General features: G+C 45.9%; 1 protein-coding gene and 1 long non-coding RNA gene across 13 annotated transcripts in view; one reads left to right on the plus strand and one right to left on the minus strand.

Moving 5' to 3' along the window:
* The window catches only part of PTPRE (protein tyrosine phosphatase receptor type E), a 178,753-nt gene that overhangs the window by 11,578 nt on the left and 151,277 nt on the right, over positions 1-15,898 (plus strand). Inside the window, exon 1 of one of the 12 annotated variants that reach the window (XM_047425577.1) lies at positions 12,298-12,453. The exons of the other annotated variants lie outside the window; for them this stretch is intronic. Within the exon in view, the coding sequence (XP_047281533.1) occupies positions 12,391-12,453 (63 nt within the window). The 5' untranslated portion in view covers positions 12,298-12,390. Of the gene's footprint in view, positions 1-12,297; positions 12,454-15,898 lie in introns of those variants that run through there. 12 annotated transcript variants of the gene reach the window in all.
* On the minus strand, positions 10,696-15,524 carry PTPRE-AS1 (PTPRE antisense RNA 1). The gene is made up of 2 exons (XR_007062387.1): positions 15,396-15,524; positions 10,696-11,001 (listed from the first exon to the last, which is right to left on the minus strand). It is a non-coding gene; the product is annotated as a PTPRE antisense RNA 1 (long non-coding RNA).

A 15,898-nucleotide genomic window follows, 5' to 3' on the forward strand; every position in this document is an offset into this window, starting at 1 on the left:
GGCTGTTGGGCAACCCCTGCCCAGTCAGCATCCTGGCAGTTGTCACTTTGGCAGAGTCGGAGGACAGACACACAATGACAGCAAGAGCAAAGGCAGGGCCTGCCCGCGAGGAAGAGCCACGGCTGTTGAGCGTGGATGTGTATTTCTCAAGGAGTATGAAGGAGTCTTTTTGCAAAATTGCAAAGAACTGGCCTGACTGGGAAGTGCAAGAGTTATCTTCCCTTCAGGGAAGAGGGAAGTTTAACTGGGGCCTCCTTGGGCTGGAACACATCTCAAAGTCATGGTTCTTGGAAACCCAGGGTGCATTTATGGACAAGTCTATTATAGGAGTTGTAGGTGTATCTTGAAGATGCAAAAATTCATTTTGTACCTTTATTTTACACATCAGACCTTACCCAGGTACCATTCTGTGCTGGGCAGTGCCTAGGACTGAGGCAGATTTGGCTCCATTGGTGTGCCCAGGAAATGGACTTCATTGCACACTGAAGGACCAGCCCTTCAATGCATTGTCTTCAAATAAAAATGAAAATTTCACTCATTTCTGGTGATTTTCTCAATAACCTTTCTCATAGGTTTGAATATAACTAGAAACATAATTTTTGTCCAAGTCTTTCAGTTCACCAAAAACCAAAGTTAAATTCTACCCTTGCGCTTTAGATGTTAACAATTTGAGAAGTTTGGCGAACAATTCCATCTCCTTATTTAGAGCCAGAGCTGGAGGCCAGCTGCAGATGAGGAAAGGGAGACTTGCCCAGGGGCACGCTGCCTGCTCCTGCCACCCGTGGGCTGCCTTCTTCCTGTTCTGTTCTGTGCTGCCTCTAGTGGACTGACCCCTTATCCCTCCTTCCTGTGCCTGCAACACGGCTTATGGTGCTGGGCCTCAGGAAATGGAGGTCCCTCATCTGCATCCATAAGAAGAAAGCCCGGGTTATTCATCTGTTTAGACAGAAGTGCACTCCAACCTTTAGCAGGATCTGAAGGTGAGAAGCTATGACTTCATTACTGTGCATCCATCTTTTGTCTGCTTGGCCCTAGTCCTCTGGGTGTGGTTTCCGCCTGGCAAATTACTTCCAGGAGATGCTTGAGAAGGCAGTAGCGTGTGGAAACATCTTATGTGCAGCATGCTTTTGTTTACAAATGATTTATTATTGGTTATGTCAAAATACACATCCTGAATGAATGGGCAGTGCTGGGTAGAAATCAGTGACATCAATCGTGGTTATTTTACTTAGCAGTGGATTTTTTTTTTTTCCTTTTCAGTGTAGTAGTAATTTGTAAATGCTTTATGGAGGTTATGCTTTCTTTAGTGGCTTGGCATCTTGGAAATTGGAGCAGCCAGGCTCGGCGTGCTGTGTCCATTTTTAGCCCTAGCAGGCAGGAAGTGTGGCCATGCTCTCTCAGGGTAACTGCTGCGAGTTTGTGGCTAGAATGATGTTGGGTGGGAGTTACTCAACTGTTTGAATGCAATGGGCTTAGCTAATGGTAAGAAAGTGCGTGGAGCCTGGGAAGCAATTGATAGCTGGTTACCCTGAGCTCAGCCTCTAGTAACAAATGACACAAGGCATTTGTGAAGGCTGGAAAGCCTCCGTGAGAAGAGCACCTTGAGTCCCACTGGGAAGGGGCAGCCCCTTGGAGCATGAGGGGTCTCTTGCTGCCTCTGCTTTGGGTCTGGCTGAGGGTCCACTTTGCTCCCTGACCCCAGCCAGGGTACCAGTTCCCAGATTGCTGGTGGGCGTGTGACAGCTCATGTGGCCAAGCACCCTGCCCTGCTTCTTCAAAGCTCCTAGGTGGGGGAGTCCCAGTGGCAGGGCAGAGGGACCAACCCCCATGGCTGACTCAGCTGTAGTCCACCCAGATTGCATTTATGGGTAAGTCTACTAGAGGCACTGTACCCGAGCCTGGGGCAACCCTTCTTCTTTCGTGGACTTCCCTGGTCTCTCCAGGACGTTTCAGTGCAAATGCAGCTGTGTGATACCACCCCATACACTGGCGGGGCTGAAGGGAGGTTGGGTTCCGTATCAGTCAGGGACCTTAGGGATGCACGAGATGGAAATATGACTCAAGTTCAGTCAAGTTCATAGGGGCGTTGACTTACAAAACTGAAAGCTCAGGTACAACTGGATCCACATGGCCAGATGTTGCCACCAAGGCCCTGGCTCTCTCTCATATGTGCTCTGACAGACTCAGTCCTGTGGGGCCTCCAGCAAACTCACATTCTGTCTTCCCTGTGTAAGGAGAGGGCGTTTCCCTACAGATCAACCCAGACATGAGTCTCCTTGGCTCTGACGAGCCAGGCTTGGATAACTGGCCCAACCTCAAAGCTTCCTCGGTGTCTGGGGCTTGCCCTGTTCTGATAATCCAGGCTTGGGCCCTCTGTCTTCCCAGGGGCCAGAGGTGGAAACACAGCTCCTTTGGCAAGTGTCCTATTTTCAGTGGGGGTCCAGGGCAATAAATGAAATACTCGTTACGATAATACCAGCGATCACTGGTGTTGAGGGTGCACTTGCTGAGTGCCAGCCAGATCCTGCTCTAAGCACTTGGACATGTTAACTCGGTCAGTGCTCACAGCTGCAAAACCAGGTGAGGGCAGCAATTAGTGCATTTTTGACAGAAGGAACTGGAGGCCCAGATAGGGTAGCAGCAGGGCAGGGATTTGAAAAGGGATTGAGACCAATAATCCCCAAGACGGAGGAGTGATGCCTATGTGTGGAAGCAGGGGCCACACGGCTGCTGGGGATGGGGTGGGAAGAGGCGTCCTGTGGCCTCCAGGCTCACTCAGGGAGCAGTCAGATGGAAGGCCGGGGTAGACACCTGGACCTGCCTGGGAAGGGCTTTAGAATCACAGGAGGGACGTGAGCTCCATCTTGAACTGGGGGAGGTGATGCCAGGGATGTGGACGTCTATAGGGACTGGGCTGGGGGCACAGAGCTGGGGGCCAGGAGAGGCTCACTGAGCTGTTGCCCAGCAGGGCTGTGCCTCAGAGTCACAGGGGAGGTTCCCGAGAGCCTCCTGCTTGGACCCTGCTCTCATGATTGGCTCCAAGTTCTACAGTGAGGCCAGGGCAGCTGCATTTTTTACAAAGCTCCCCCAGGAAATTCCAAGTGTGGCCAGGGTGGAGAATGCCAGGGTCTTCTGTAGGGTCCCAGAATGAGGTCAGGACTTTCTTCAATGCAGAGGGCAGGAGGGGAGTCCAGGAGGAATGGACAGGGTGCTGTGGCTCAGGGTGCCGGTGGAAGGCAGGCATCGATGCTGAGTCTGAAGCCCTGTGCTGGGCAGGAACTTTGCTCTTGCAGGAAGTGAAACTGCTGGAGGAAATTGCTAAAGGAAAGCAATGGAATAGACTAATCCATGACAAGTTGTTAGTGAATTCATGAAGTCCAATTTTAAGAGCTGCTTTTTGAAAGAAGGCTACTGGAGAAAGGCTAACTAAATAAACAAGTTGCTGATGTTGGGATGTCAGGCAGCTGAGCTGACAGAGATCACTCCCAGCAGCCCTGAAGCCACAGGAGCCACCACACATGGTCATTTACACAGTTCCATTCATTCATTCACTGTCTCAAGTTCATTTAACACATGTGAATGGAAGGCCTTCTGGTGCTGAGACTCCAATGGTGAACAAAACCCATAGGTGCCCTTGCATTCTTTGCCGCCGGACACCTAACCTGAATCTGGGGGTCCTGTGGGAGGCAGTCCCGTAAGGGGCTGTCTGTGCGGAGCTCAGCCCTGCTCTGGAGACTCCGTGGGGCAAGGGGGCCAGGGGGCCATCGAGGGCCGCTCTGAGGTCCTTGTGTTGTCCGTGTGGGATTGAGAAGGCCTCATGCCAGGAGCTGTGCTCTTCTCTTCCAGGTGGGCCGGGGCCATGTGTATTCATTAGGGGCCTGTCATCCAAGTGGGCACTTAGGACAAAGTGGTTGCCCAGCTCTCTGCTCCACAGAACCCCATCTGCCACACATGATACCACTTTTGCTAGGCCTTCTTCTAAAGAGTTCCACTGAACCCGTAAGAGATGTGTGTTCCTGCCACTCTGTTCCCAGCCACAACATAGAAAGGGGACTGAACTCTATACCAAGGTGGGTGGGCTGAGAGCCCCAGGCACAGCGGCTTCTGTCGGGCCATTTCTGCCCAGGTTCCTTTCTCTGGCTCCCTCCCTGCTCCCATCTTCCCTCCCCCTCTGCCCTCTCTGGCTTTTCCCATCCTCAGCTTCATCTCTTAGGACCTCGTCTTCCAGAACCCCAGACCCAGCCAAGCTCGGCCTCCCTCAGGCCTTCAGCTAGTGACCTCAGCATTGGTGGAGGGACTGCTCTGACCCCAGACCCAGCCCTTAGTGGCAACAGTGGCAGCTCTGTGGGCAGCTGTGGCTAACTTGAGCGTCTGGCGGCATTCCCAGCCTGCACTCCTGTCCCAGGCAGAGGCCTGGAGAGCTGGTGCTCAGCCCGGCATAGCGGCTGGCGTGCCATTCTTTTGACATGAGTAATAGCAAAGCAAGTCCAAGAAATGTCCAGTGTTTTCTCCCTGTTGTTGCCCAATTTCAAAGAGATAATCCAATCACCTTATCAGGTGAGGGGTGGGGCAGGCTTCCCAGAAGCAGACAGAGTGTGGGGACACCCTGACCTGGCCCCAGGAGTCTTGGCTATCCAGAGCGAGTGCTACAAGTCTGGGAAGAACCTCATAATGGAATCGCTTGCCTGTTTTGATCCTGATGTGAAAACCAGTTTGAATTTTTTTTTTTTTTTTTTTTTTTGAGACGGAATTTTGCTCTGTTGCCCAGGCTGAAGTGCAGTGGCACGAACTCGGCTCACCGCAACCTCTGCCTCCCAGGTTCAAGTGATTCTCCCGCCTCAGCCTCCTGAGTAGCTGGGATTACAGGCGCCCGCCACCATGCTTGGCTAATTTTTGTATTTTTAGTAAGGACTGGGTTTCACCACGTTGGTCAGGCTGGTCTCGAACTCCTGACCTCGTGATCCACCTGCCTCAGCCTCCCAAAGTTTTGAATTATTTTTAAAGGCTCCAAGGAGAGCTTCTGTTTTGACAGAAACTCTATCAAGATATCATCCAGCCCAGTGTGGAGACACAATCTTCCTTTAACACAGGATTCAAACCACATGCAGTTTACTTCCGGGTATCTCTGTCAGGATCTTGCATTCATTTCCCACTGCCTGATGTCTGGTTGGTGGAAGCTGAGACCCCTGAGGGATCAGAACAGATCCAGGGAGAGCTGGGAGTGCTACTTTTCCATGTCTGGTCTGGGTTTTAGGGAGTGATGTTCCCACAGAAGGCTTAAGCTGGAAAATATCCATGATGAGTCCAGGGTACATTTGGTGGAGGTTTAAATACTGTGTCAAGATGCATACAAATAAACTTAACCGTGGTGCATGGCAGAAGATGTCTCTGGGAAACTGAGTGAACAAGTGAAAGGAACACAAGAGAACAAACTCTTAAGCTTTTTTGTAGAGAAAGAGTTTGTGCTCGAAATAGGGACAAGTTACAGGGTGACAGGCATGACTGTTTTCAGCAGGGAGGGCAAGCGAAGGTGGGTGAGCTTGTTTGTTGTTGTTGTTGTTTTGAAACAGAGTCTCCCTCTGTCACCCAGGCTGGAGTGCAATGGTGCGATCTCGGCTCATTGCAACCTTCGCCTCCCGGATTCAAGTGATTCTTGTGCCTCAGCCTCTCGAGTAGCTGGGACTACAGGCGCCCACCACCGTGCCTGGCTAATTTTTGTATTTTTAGTAGAGACAGGGTTTTGCCATGTTGGCCAGGCTGATCTCAAATTCCTGATCTCAAGATCCTACGCCTACACCTCGGCCTCCCAAAGTGCTAGGACCACAGGCATGAGCCACTGCATCTGGCCAGGTGAGCTGTTTTAAGACCACAAGATCAGGCAGACATGGGATTGTCAGCAGGATTTTTACCATCAGGTAACAGTCAATGTGTTCCCCTCCGCCCAACTTCCCTCACTGTACTCAAGGAATATCTGATGACCCAATAATAAAAACTTACAAGATTAACTGAGATAACCCAGTTTAATGTTCAATAAGGTCCCACTGGGCTGCAGAATACAGAAAAATTGACCCATATAACTTGGCATTTGTATCTTTTCTGCAAAGTCTCAATAATGTATAATTTTAAAATCTAGAAGTTATGGAGCATTGAAGTAGCTGAGCTTTCTAGAAAGCGGACATTGTAATGAATAAGCAAAGCAAGAAAACCTCAGACATTGGTACCAGCTCTATTTTAAGCAGAGGCATGTGGAGCTCCCTGGGATACTTGGAAATGCACATTCCCAGGTACTGCAGAGGCTGTTCCTATGAACTATGCTAACTCAATCTTCAGCACAGTCTTCTGTTTTCTGAGCTCTAGAGCAAGGTTGGCAATTTTGCCCCATCTTACCTGCCTGAAGCCAGCACACCTGAGGGCTTGGCTTGGGCTGGAAGATCCACTTCCATGGCTGGAGGATGTTGGCCATGGACAGGAGGCCTTCAGTCCTTGCCAGATGGACCTATCCACAGGACTATGTGTCCTGATGATCTGGGAGCTGGCTTCACCCAGAGAGAGTGATCCAGGAGAAAGCAAGAAAGACGTTACAGTGTCTTTAGGACCTAGCCTGGGAAGCTGTATTCTGCTGTTTCTTTGACATCCTATTTGTCACCTGATTTAGCCTTATTCCTTCAGGAAAGAATGGCTGGCTCTTTCCAAACAGTATGTATGGGTGAGGGATCCTCATTCTTTTCTGACCCCGGGTGGATTAGTTGTGGCTCCTGGCAATATCCCGGATCTGACTGGTTAACTTAGTGAGAAAGGGAGCTTGGCAGACGGCTACCGCAGAGTTCTCAGAATCAATAGTGAAGCTGGAGAACAAGGCTCAGAAAACAGGGAGGAGCCCAGGAAGCTAGCAGCCTGAACCATGGTCGAGGCCAGGCCACAGGAAGCTTTTAGTAAGAATGTGGCCTGTGGTCCACGGCCACTGAGCCTGCTAGGCCCTTCCAGCTGTGGCCTCTGCAACAGTTCCAAAGCATCCCTGGGGCTATCACCCTAAAGACCAACATCTTGGGTAGGATTGATGGTTGGAGTCTGTGTCACCCCCTGACAAATCCTAACTGCTTGGCGGAGGGAATGTGAGTGAACAGGAAGGACCTCCCCTGGGAGGTGGAGCACTTTGGAGCAGCAGCTGATAGGTAAAGGGCACCTCACCAGCCCACAAAGGACAAAAGGTTACCCTGTCTATACTGAGCTCAAGTGTCATTTTTGACTACAAGTATACCTGGTATTACAGTATTAACATACTCCTGAAAAGTTATGTTAATTGGAATTGTGCTTTATATACACTGGGTAAGCTTAATACCTTTCAGAAGACCATAGCTAATCCTTTTGTGAAGCAGCTAATCTTTTTAGAGAACAAATGGTCACTTCTTAACTATTTCTTTCAAGATTAGGAGTCTATTGTGTTTTCTCAAGGCAGAGTAGCCAGTGTTTAAGTTTTCCCTTTTGCTCACGGTGAGGAAATGTTACTTTATAGAAAGCTGCTTGCAGCCTCTCATGCAGAATGAAAAAACAATGAGTTTTTTTCCTTCATTTTAAATCTCCACTGTAATCAACTGTCTTTTGCAAGGAGTACAGATTGTTGAAAATTTTAAAGAGCATGTATGATTTCATTCTTACCAGCAAGGCTGTTTTAATATGAGCATATTTTAAAACTAAGAATGGCAGGATCTGAATGAGCAAAGAAGCAGGCGCTGTGAGTTGTTCTGCGGCAAAGCACATTTGGACATTCACCTCCAACATTTCTGTTTTTCTTCTGTGAGGAGCTTTGAGACTATATATAGTGGAGGTATTTTGTTCGGTTTCCTAGAGTTGCTTTCACATTTCCTGGATAACAGCATGCCGGGAGAGGAGGCTGGGAGGCTGGCTGGTGTGGGCGTGAGGAGCAAGCCTGAGAGGTTTAGACTCTGCTCCACCAGGTCTAGCGACGGGCTCTGTGTGTCCGAAGTAGTCATGGTGGCCACAGGAAAGGAGACGCCTAGCAGGGGAGGAACTAGACAGGGGACGAGTTGGGAAGCTGCTGTCACAATCAAAGACCAGAGGGGAGAAAGAGGGGAAGTGAGAGAGACCAAGGGAAAGAGAGTTGTCTTTTTTTTTTTTTTTTTTTTTTTTTGAGATAGAGTCTTACTCTGTCACCCAGGCTGGAGTGCAGTGGTGTGATCTCAGCTCACTGTAACCTCTGCCTCCCAGGTTCAAGCAATTCTCCTGCCTCAGCCTCCCAAGTAGCTGGGATTACAGGTGTGCACCACCACACCTGACTAATTTTTGTATTTTTAGTAGAGATGGGGTTTCACTGTGTTGGCCAGGCCAGTCTCGAACTCCTGACCTCATGATCTGCCAGCCTCGGCCTCCCAAAGTCCTAGGATTACAAGCATGAGCCACTGCGCCAGGTCTCTCTTAATCCAAGAGTGACAATGGCAGGTAGGTACACTGGAGAGTGACAATGGCAGGCAGGTACACTGGATGCCCCCCACCCCCCCGGGGGTTGGGTTCTCGCTCACCATTAGGGAGATAGCATGTTGAACAGTAGCGTATTTCTCCATATGTCTAACTCGGCTACTTTTTCCTCCAGCATTGGAACACAAAACTATCATTGGCTGATGCCAGATGAAGTACTGGCTTGTATTCCTTTAAACACCAGAATCCTACTCAATGTGGCAAGACACTCCGCATGAGAGGGCATAGTGGGTAATGGTGGATCCACTTAGCGGGGTTGAGTTTTCTCAGTTTTAATGTATGTAAGATGTGGGCCCATATTATGGTTAGCAAAACCAATGCTCAGAGATGGAAACTAAGTTGTTCAGGGCCATGTAACCAGAGGGTAGTAGAGCTGGGATCAAGCCCCAGTTTGTCTCCCCAACCCAGGGCATCTCTGCAGACCTGAACAGTCCCCCTCCTCATGGAGAGGAGCCTTCTGGAGGGGGTGCTGCCTGGGAATTGGGGCAGCTAGTTTTGTGCCACCTTCTGGAATTGCAGACTGTGATTTGGAGGTTGTCACGTCTTTGAGTAAAATACACAGCTGAAGAAAACTCAGAAAGTAACATTTTTGAGTGGGTAGTTTAGTCGTATCAGTGAAAGGGAATCACTTTCTTGATTTGATTGTACTTTTAAAAGAGAATACTAATACCTATTTACCTGGTGCGTTTTAATGAATGACTCATTATTTATTATTATTGTACAGTATTGTTGAAAGCATGATGGCTTTCTTTTAAACAGCTTTTTCCATACTTCATATTGCATTTAAGTATAAAACACAGAAATCATCATCGTGTTTTGGCTAACACAATTGATGCACTCTTCAAAAACTATTAGAGAGTATATTGATTTCCTGGAGATAAGAACCCTGATTTGCTTTTTTTCTTCAAGATTGTAAATTGCATTAGTGGTGACCGTCAGATTTATAGTTAAAGCAAAACTTCAAGAGGGGTAAAGTGGATGACTCACAAACCTCCCGTCATCAGTGTTCACTGTTTACGCTTATCTGGCCAGCCTGTCTCATGCAGCATCCAAACGGACTTTAAAATTCCTTTAATTTAACACAGAAACGTTCTCTGATGAGTTTCTGTTTTGTTTATCTGGTCATCTCTGTGCCCTTGTTTCCTGTCCTGCTCCCTCTTTCAGTAAATCTTGTTTGCTATCAACAGGCCTGTGTTTGTTTCCTTGGAGCTTGGAATTCCTGAGCGGGAAGGAAATACTAGGAAACTTAATGCAGATATGTAATTCTTTTACTGTTTTCAAATGTACAGGGACCATCGGTTGAATTGATGTATCCTTCCTTCTTTTGGAAGTGCTCAGTGCCAGTTCATTTCCCCTTTTGCATAGCTTTGATGGCTTAATTCCACGCACCTAGACCCATGTCTCCTGGATGGAGGACAGATTAGCTGTGCTGGGTTAGACTCATAGGCTTATCTGGAATCCTGCACTCATCTACAACGCTGATTGAGTGAACAGCAAACATCGTACTGTGGGTACAAACTTGGAGGTGTTTACTTGGAAATTTATATCTACCTTCCAAATAACATCTTGGAAAGCACACTGGTAGATGAGGCCTCATTGATGAATTCACTTAGAAAAACATCATAGCATTCATTTTTATATCAATCTTCATTCAGCCCAATATTTGTAGCTGAACAAAACACTGACAACATGTCAGACACGAAGGCCATGGTCAGTTGCCTTTCACACAGGAAAACAAAGATTAGCTGTGTAGCTACGGAAAGCGAATGTCTGTTAAGTACAGAGGTTGTAGTTAACAGCTTTATGTATTCAATTTGTTTGCAATTGACAACACCTCATTAATTGTAAGCCCAGTGACACTGCTTGCTGTTTCAAGTCACTTTTAAATTACACACGTGCTACTTAATCTTAAAAGCAAAATTAAACATTGGACTGGTTTACATTTCAAGCTACAATATGGAACCATTGTATTTGGAGGAATGAGTTTAATATGCATTGTAAAATAAAATTAGGGGGTACTTTGCATTCACAGCGGCTTATGTAATTAGGTTCAGTCAACTGTAATGTTTCAGGTTAATGTCTTCCATGATGTATGCTGTGTAAATAGTGAACTTACATATCCCTTAATACATCTGAATTATTACATAAATCCTTAATATTAATATAATAAAGTATTTTAAGCAAATTACTTGGAAGTGTGAGTTGCATGGCAAGTAGGTAAAACTGATTTATTTTTAAGAGATCAGCAAAGATAAACATTTCATTTATTTAACAACTACAGATATTTATCAAGTCTCTACCTGGTCCAGGTACAGAGGACACAAAGATCTGAAAACTATAGTTACCGCCCTCAAGAATCTGCTAACTGAGTGTGACGTTTCCAGAGGGTTCCCTGGAATACGGATCCCCAGTTCCCTGTTGGGCGTAGGCAGGACAGTTGGGAGCCACAGGCTGCAGCGGGTGGGTTCTCTTGAGAGTTTGTGGGTAGAGTTCAGAAGGCCTGCAAATCTAGACGGAGAAAACATTTGCACTTTTATTTCCAAGTAATTGGCTTCTTTTGCAATCCTACATATCCTCTATGCCTTTAAAACATTGTTTTTAGGCCTGGCGTGGTGGCTCACACCTGTAATCTTAGCACTTTGGGAGGCTGAGGCAGGCAGATCACTTGAGGTCGGGAGTTGGAGACCAGCCTGGCCAACATGGCAAAACCCCATCTCTTCTAAAAATATAAAAATTAACCAGATGTGATGGTGTATGCCTGTAATCCCAGCTACTTGGGAGGCTGAGGCAGGAGAATTGCTTGAACCCGAGAGGCGAGGTGAAGGTTGCAGTGAGCCGAGATCACACCATTGCACTCTAGCCTGGACAACAGAGGCAGATTCCATCTCAAAAAAAAAAAAAAAAAAAGAAAGAAAGAAAACAAAAGCATTGTTTTTAGATTTTATTTTTTAAATTACATGCTTGGAGTAAAAGTCACTCATTTTGGCGTACAGCTCCATGAATTTTAACAAATGCAGAGTTGTATAACCAGTAACACTATCGAGACATGCACATTTTACCACCCTGCCCCCGAAAAAAAAAATCTGTCATCATGCACCTTTATGTCAGACCCTGTAACCCCACCCCTACCCTGGTATCCACTGATCTATTCTCTATCTTTGTAATTTTGCCTTTTCTGAAATGTAATATATGTGGAATTATTTATAGCCTTTTGAGTCTGGCTTCTTTCACTTAGCACACGGATTTAAGAAACATCCTTGTGTGTATCAATAGTCCATTCCATTTTATGGCTGAGTAGCATTCTGTTGTATGCATGTAGCGCAGTTTGTTTATCCATTTCCCAGTTGGGGGACATTTGGGTTGTCTTCAGTTTGAGGCACTTAATGAATAAAATGGCTATAACATGTGCATGTAGGTTTTTGCATAAACCTAGGTTTTCATTTCACATGGATAAGTAGATAGGATGGGATTGCTGGCTCACATGTTAAGTGTGTTTAACTTTATAAGAAACTTCCCAACTACTTTCTGTCATGGGTTCACCATTTGCTTTTCCACCAGCAGTTGCTCTGCATCTTTGCCAACATTTGCTATTGCCAGTTATTTATTTTTTATTTATTTATTTACTTTTTTTTTTTTTTGAGATGGAGTCTCACTCTGTTGCCAGGCTGGAGTGCAGTGGCGCGATATCGGCTCACTGCAACTTCAGCCTCCCGGATTCAAGCGATTCTCCTGCCTCAGCCTCCCACGTAGCTGGGATTACGAGCGCGTGCCACCACACTCAGCTAATTTTTGTATTTTTAATAGGGACGGGGTTTCGCCATGTTGGTCAGGATGGTCTCAATCTCCTGACCTCGTGATCCACCCGCCTCGGCCTTCCAAAGTGCTGGGATTGCAGGCATGAGCCACCGTGCCCGGCCCGCCAGTTGTTTTTTCCTTTGTAAGTTTTTGCCATCCTTACAGGTGAGTAGTAGTATTTCATGTCAGTTTTAATTTGCATTTCCCTAGTGACTCACAGTGTCCAGTATCTTTTCAGGCCCTTATTTGTATATAAAGTTGTTTATCTCCTTTAATAGTATCTGTTCAAATCTTTTGCCTGTTTTTAAAATTGGGTTGTTAATGCTATATATTTTATTGTATGCAATTAAAAGCATTATTCTGATGATATTTCCCTAAATGGCCCAAAGGATTCGTGTTCCAGAAAATATTAAGAACCTTTGAAAGACACACTGACTTTAAAATGTTCTTTACATTTTTGCCTTTTCTCGTGACACGTCTACTTTGCTCAAAGTCCGCCTCAAGGCAGAAGCTGGCCTGTGATAGAATATTTCCCACCCCATCTTTCTTTCTTTCTGTTTTTCGTATATGAAGAGGGATTTCCAAATGCCAAGTGTGGGCATTCCTATGCCCCCTTCCCAGGAGCAGCAAGCCATTTCTCTATTCTGATTTCTGAAACTCTACCGCCCCCTTTGCATCGTTACCCAAATGGAAGGAATCCTAGGTTGTGGGGAAAATGTGAACTAACATATTCCAGAAAAATGACCCCACTCCACCTTAGGAATTAGGAGTTTTTTTCTTAATGCAGGACAAAAATCTGATTGTGTATTTTATCATCATTTATCATGCACATTTTATTACTGTTTATCTCCACAACACCATGGGCTTGATATATTTTTCTGCCTTAATCTCCATTTTTTTCATCAAAGCTTCCCAGTAGGGACTCATCTCCTAGCAAAAATGGTTTTTAACTATTTGGGATATTTTTAAAAGACTTTTGTGGACCCTTTTATATGGTCAGCCAAGTTTTGACTTAGTCATCACTCATTCTTTAAGTCAAGTTTCAATACCGTCTTCAATGGTTAACGTTTCTTGGAACCATAAAGCTTATTTATGATGAATATATTAATTTTATTTTGCAGTTCTTCTATTAAGGAATATAAGAAGGAATATAGGGCACAGAAAGTGGTTCTGTATTATTTTTATTTGAATTCAACTTATGATTGTCCTCCTCGAATCAAAAAGAAAAAAACATTGAAAAAGCAAATTACACGCAAAGTCTATATTGAAAATTAACATGCCGCGTTGAAGAACTCTGCCATGTGTTAATTATTGATATTGTTGCTTTAGAATTAGCTTTATCGATAAATGGATGTCCTAAATTTTATATTTGGCCTATTGTGGCCAAATATATGCAAACTTACGTTAAGTGCTTATGTTTTGGGGTATAGGAGCTATAAAAAAAGATTGTTCCCTTCCATATGTGTACAGTTCTTCTGGGGAAATGAAGACATACACAGGTGGAACGGTAAGAACAGTGGCGAAGAAGGGCTGCACGGAGTTTCTCTCCAGCCTTTTGCGCATGGCACGCAGGCTCATCATTGCAGCTGCAGTTTTTTACTCTGCTTTCCCTGCAGCAACAGAGACAGGAGGGTGGAGAAGGGCGCCTGTGCTCTTTTGCAGCTGTGTGTGCTCATGCCACCCTCCCACTCAACACTCCCTGCTCAGATTCCTCACGCAGCAGTGACAAAGTACCACTCACTCAGTGGCTCACCGTCAGAGAAGCCTGGGCCTGGCCTGGCCCAGCTGGTTCTCTGCTCATCGTCTCACTTGACGAAGTTGACGGGCTGCAGGGTCATGTGCCTTTCCAGAGGCTCAGGATGAATTCACTCCCAAACTCATTCAGGTATTGGCAGAATGCAGTTCCTTGAGGTTGTAGGACTGAGGTCTCAGCTTCCACACAGGCTGTGGGCTGGGGGAGGTCCTCAGAGCTAGAGGCTGTCCCGATGCTTTAGCGGGTGGCTCCTTCCTCCATCTTTAAAGCCCGCCATGTGCTCCCAGTCTCTCTGACCCCCTTTCTCCCTCATCTCTCTGGCTCTCCTGCTCCTCGTCTGCCTTTAAGGGCTCATGTGGTAACACAGGGTGCACCCGGATGATCCAGGATAATCTCCCTACTTACAGTCAGCCGTTTAGCAAACATAATCCCATCTGCAAAGTCCCTTCACAACGGTACCTGGATTACTGTTTGATGGAAAAAAACAGGACTGGAAATCTTGGGGGACATTTTTGGATTCTGCCTACCACCCCCTCCATACACACATAAACAGCAAAATGACAAAATTCAAGGCTCTCCTGAGTGACTGTTTGCAGCAAAGAAAGTTGTTTCCATTTCAGAGACAATATGTGCTGAGATAAGTTTGTGATATTTACACATTTGGTGTTTAATCCTCGTGGACTACATTATACATATCTTTAGGAATACTCTTTACATAAATTAAGATAATTTTCTCTTTCCTGAAAACATAACAGCATGCCACGCGTTCTGGATGAAAATGAGGAACTGTTTACACCATGGGCCCAATTAAACTCTGCGAGAATTCTGATGTGCGATAAAAATGTGCTCAGATGTATAGCATATTTTAAGTTTCCTAGGACTTTCCTTGCAAGCATAATCACAAATTAATATTAAAAAGCTATTTAATTACAATATCAAGAATGTATCTAAGGCTCCCTGGCATTTAACAGAGAAAGTTATGCTAAACATACATCATTATTTTCCTCCATGCAGTTGTCCAGGGTGACCTCTCTTAGCTGGGATTGACAAATCCACCCCAGGTGGCAGAGTGGAAGAGCTTGGAGTTTGGAGTTAGAAGGTCTGGATTGAATTTTCTCTTTCCAGGCCCCTACCGAAGTCCTGTGGTTTCCCTAAACCTCGATTTCCCTAATGGGCATGATAATCCTGATTTGAGATTTAATGAAGTCATATCAAAGAAAATACTTTGTAACCTATAAAGCACAGATGCTTGCTAAACAACTCCTGTAAACATACATTATCCCCCTTCCCCCCACCCCCCGCGCACACACACACACACACACACACACACACACAACTGGTGATTGTAACTCACTCATCTCTCTTTCCCACAGTTGTTTTGAAAACTTCTGGGTTTCTGAAATGAAGGTTCTTTGCAGAGGACAATCTTGGAAAAAAAGATGAAGTTTGATTTCCCTTTTTTCTTTGCACTATAGGGGTGTTCACTGAGGTTGCAGAGCACCAACCATGTCTGCAGAGGAGTTCACACCTCACTGGTGTTCATTGTATTGCTTCACCGTTGAGAGCCTGAATGTGAACCTTGTTGTATTAAGGTGATATTCTTGTCCTTCATGTGTTAGAATATCTATTTGCTTTGAAGAGAGAGTCAGACTCCCTGCCTTTTGGGACATGGCTTTGAGATCTGCCTTTCAGTAAGTAAGACGCTATCCTCAAATTGAGCTGGGCTACCTCTCTACATGGGAAAACCTAAGTACTTCACAGAAAGCTCGGTGACGGTTTGAGTTTCCCAGAATGCCGCACTCATCCCCAAGGATAAGTCACGTCTTTGGGGGATGATGGGGCTTCGACACTGGACAC

Source organism: Homo sapiens, chromosome 10 (genome assembly GCF_000001405.40).
Source record: "Homo sapiens chromosome 10, GRCh38.p14 Primary Assembly".
Lineage (NCBI taxonomy): Eukaryota > Metazoa > Chordata > Mammalia > Primates > Hominidae > Homo > Homo sapiens.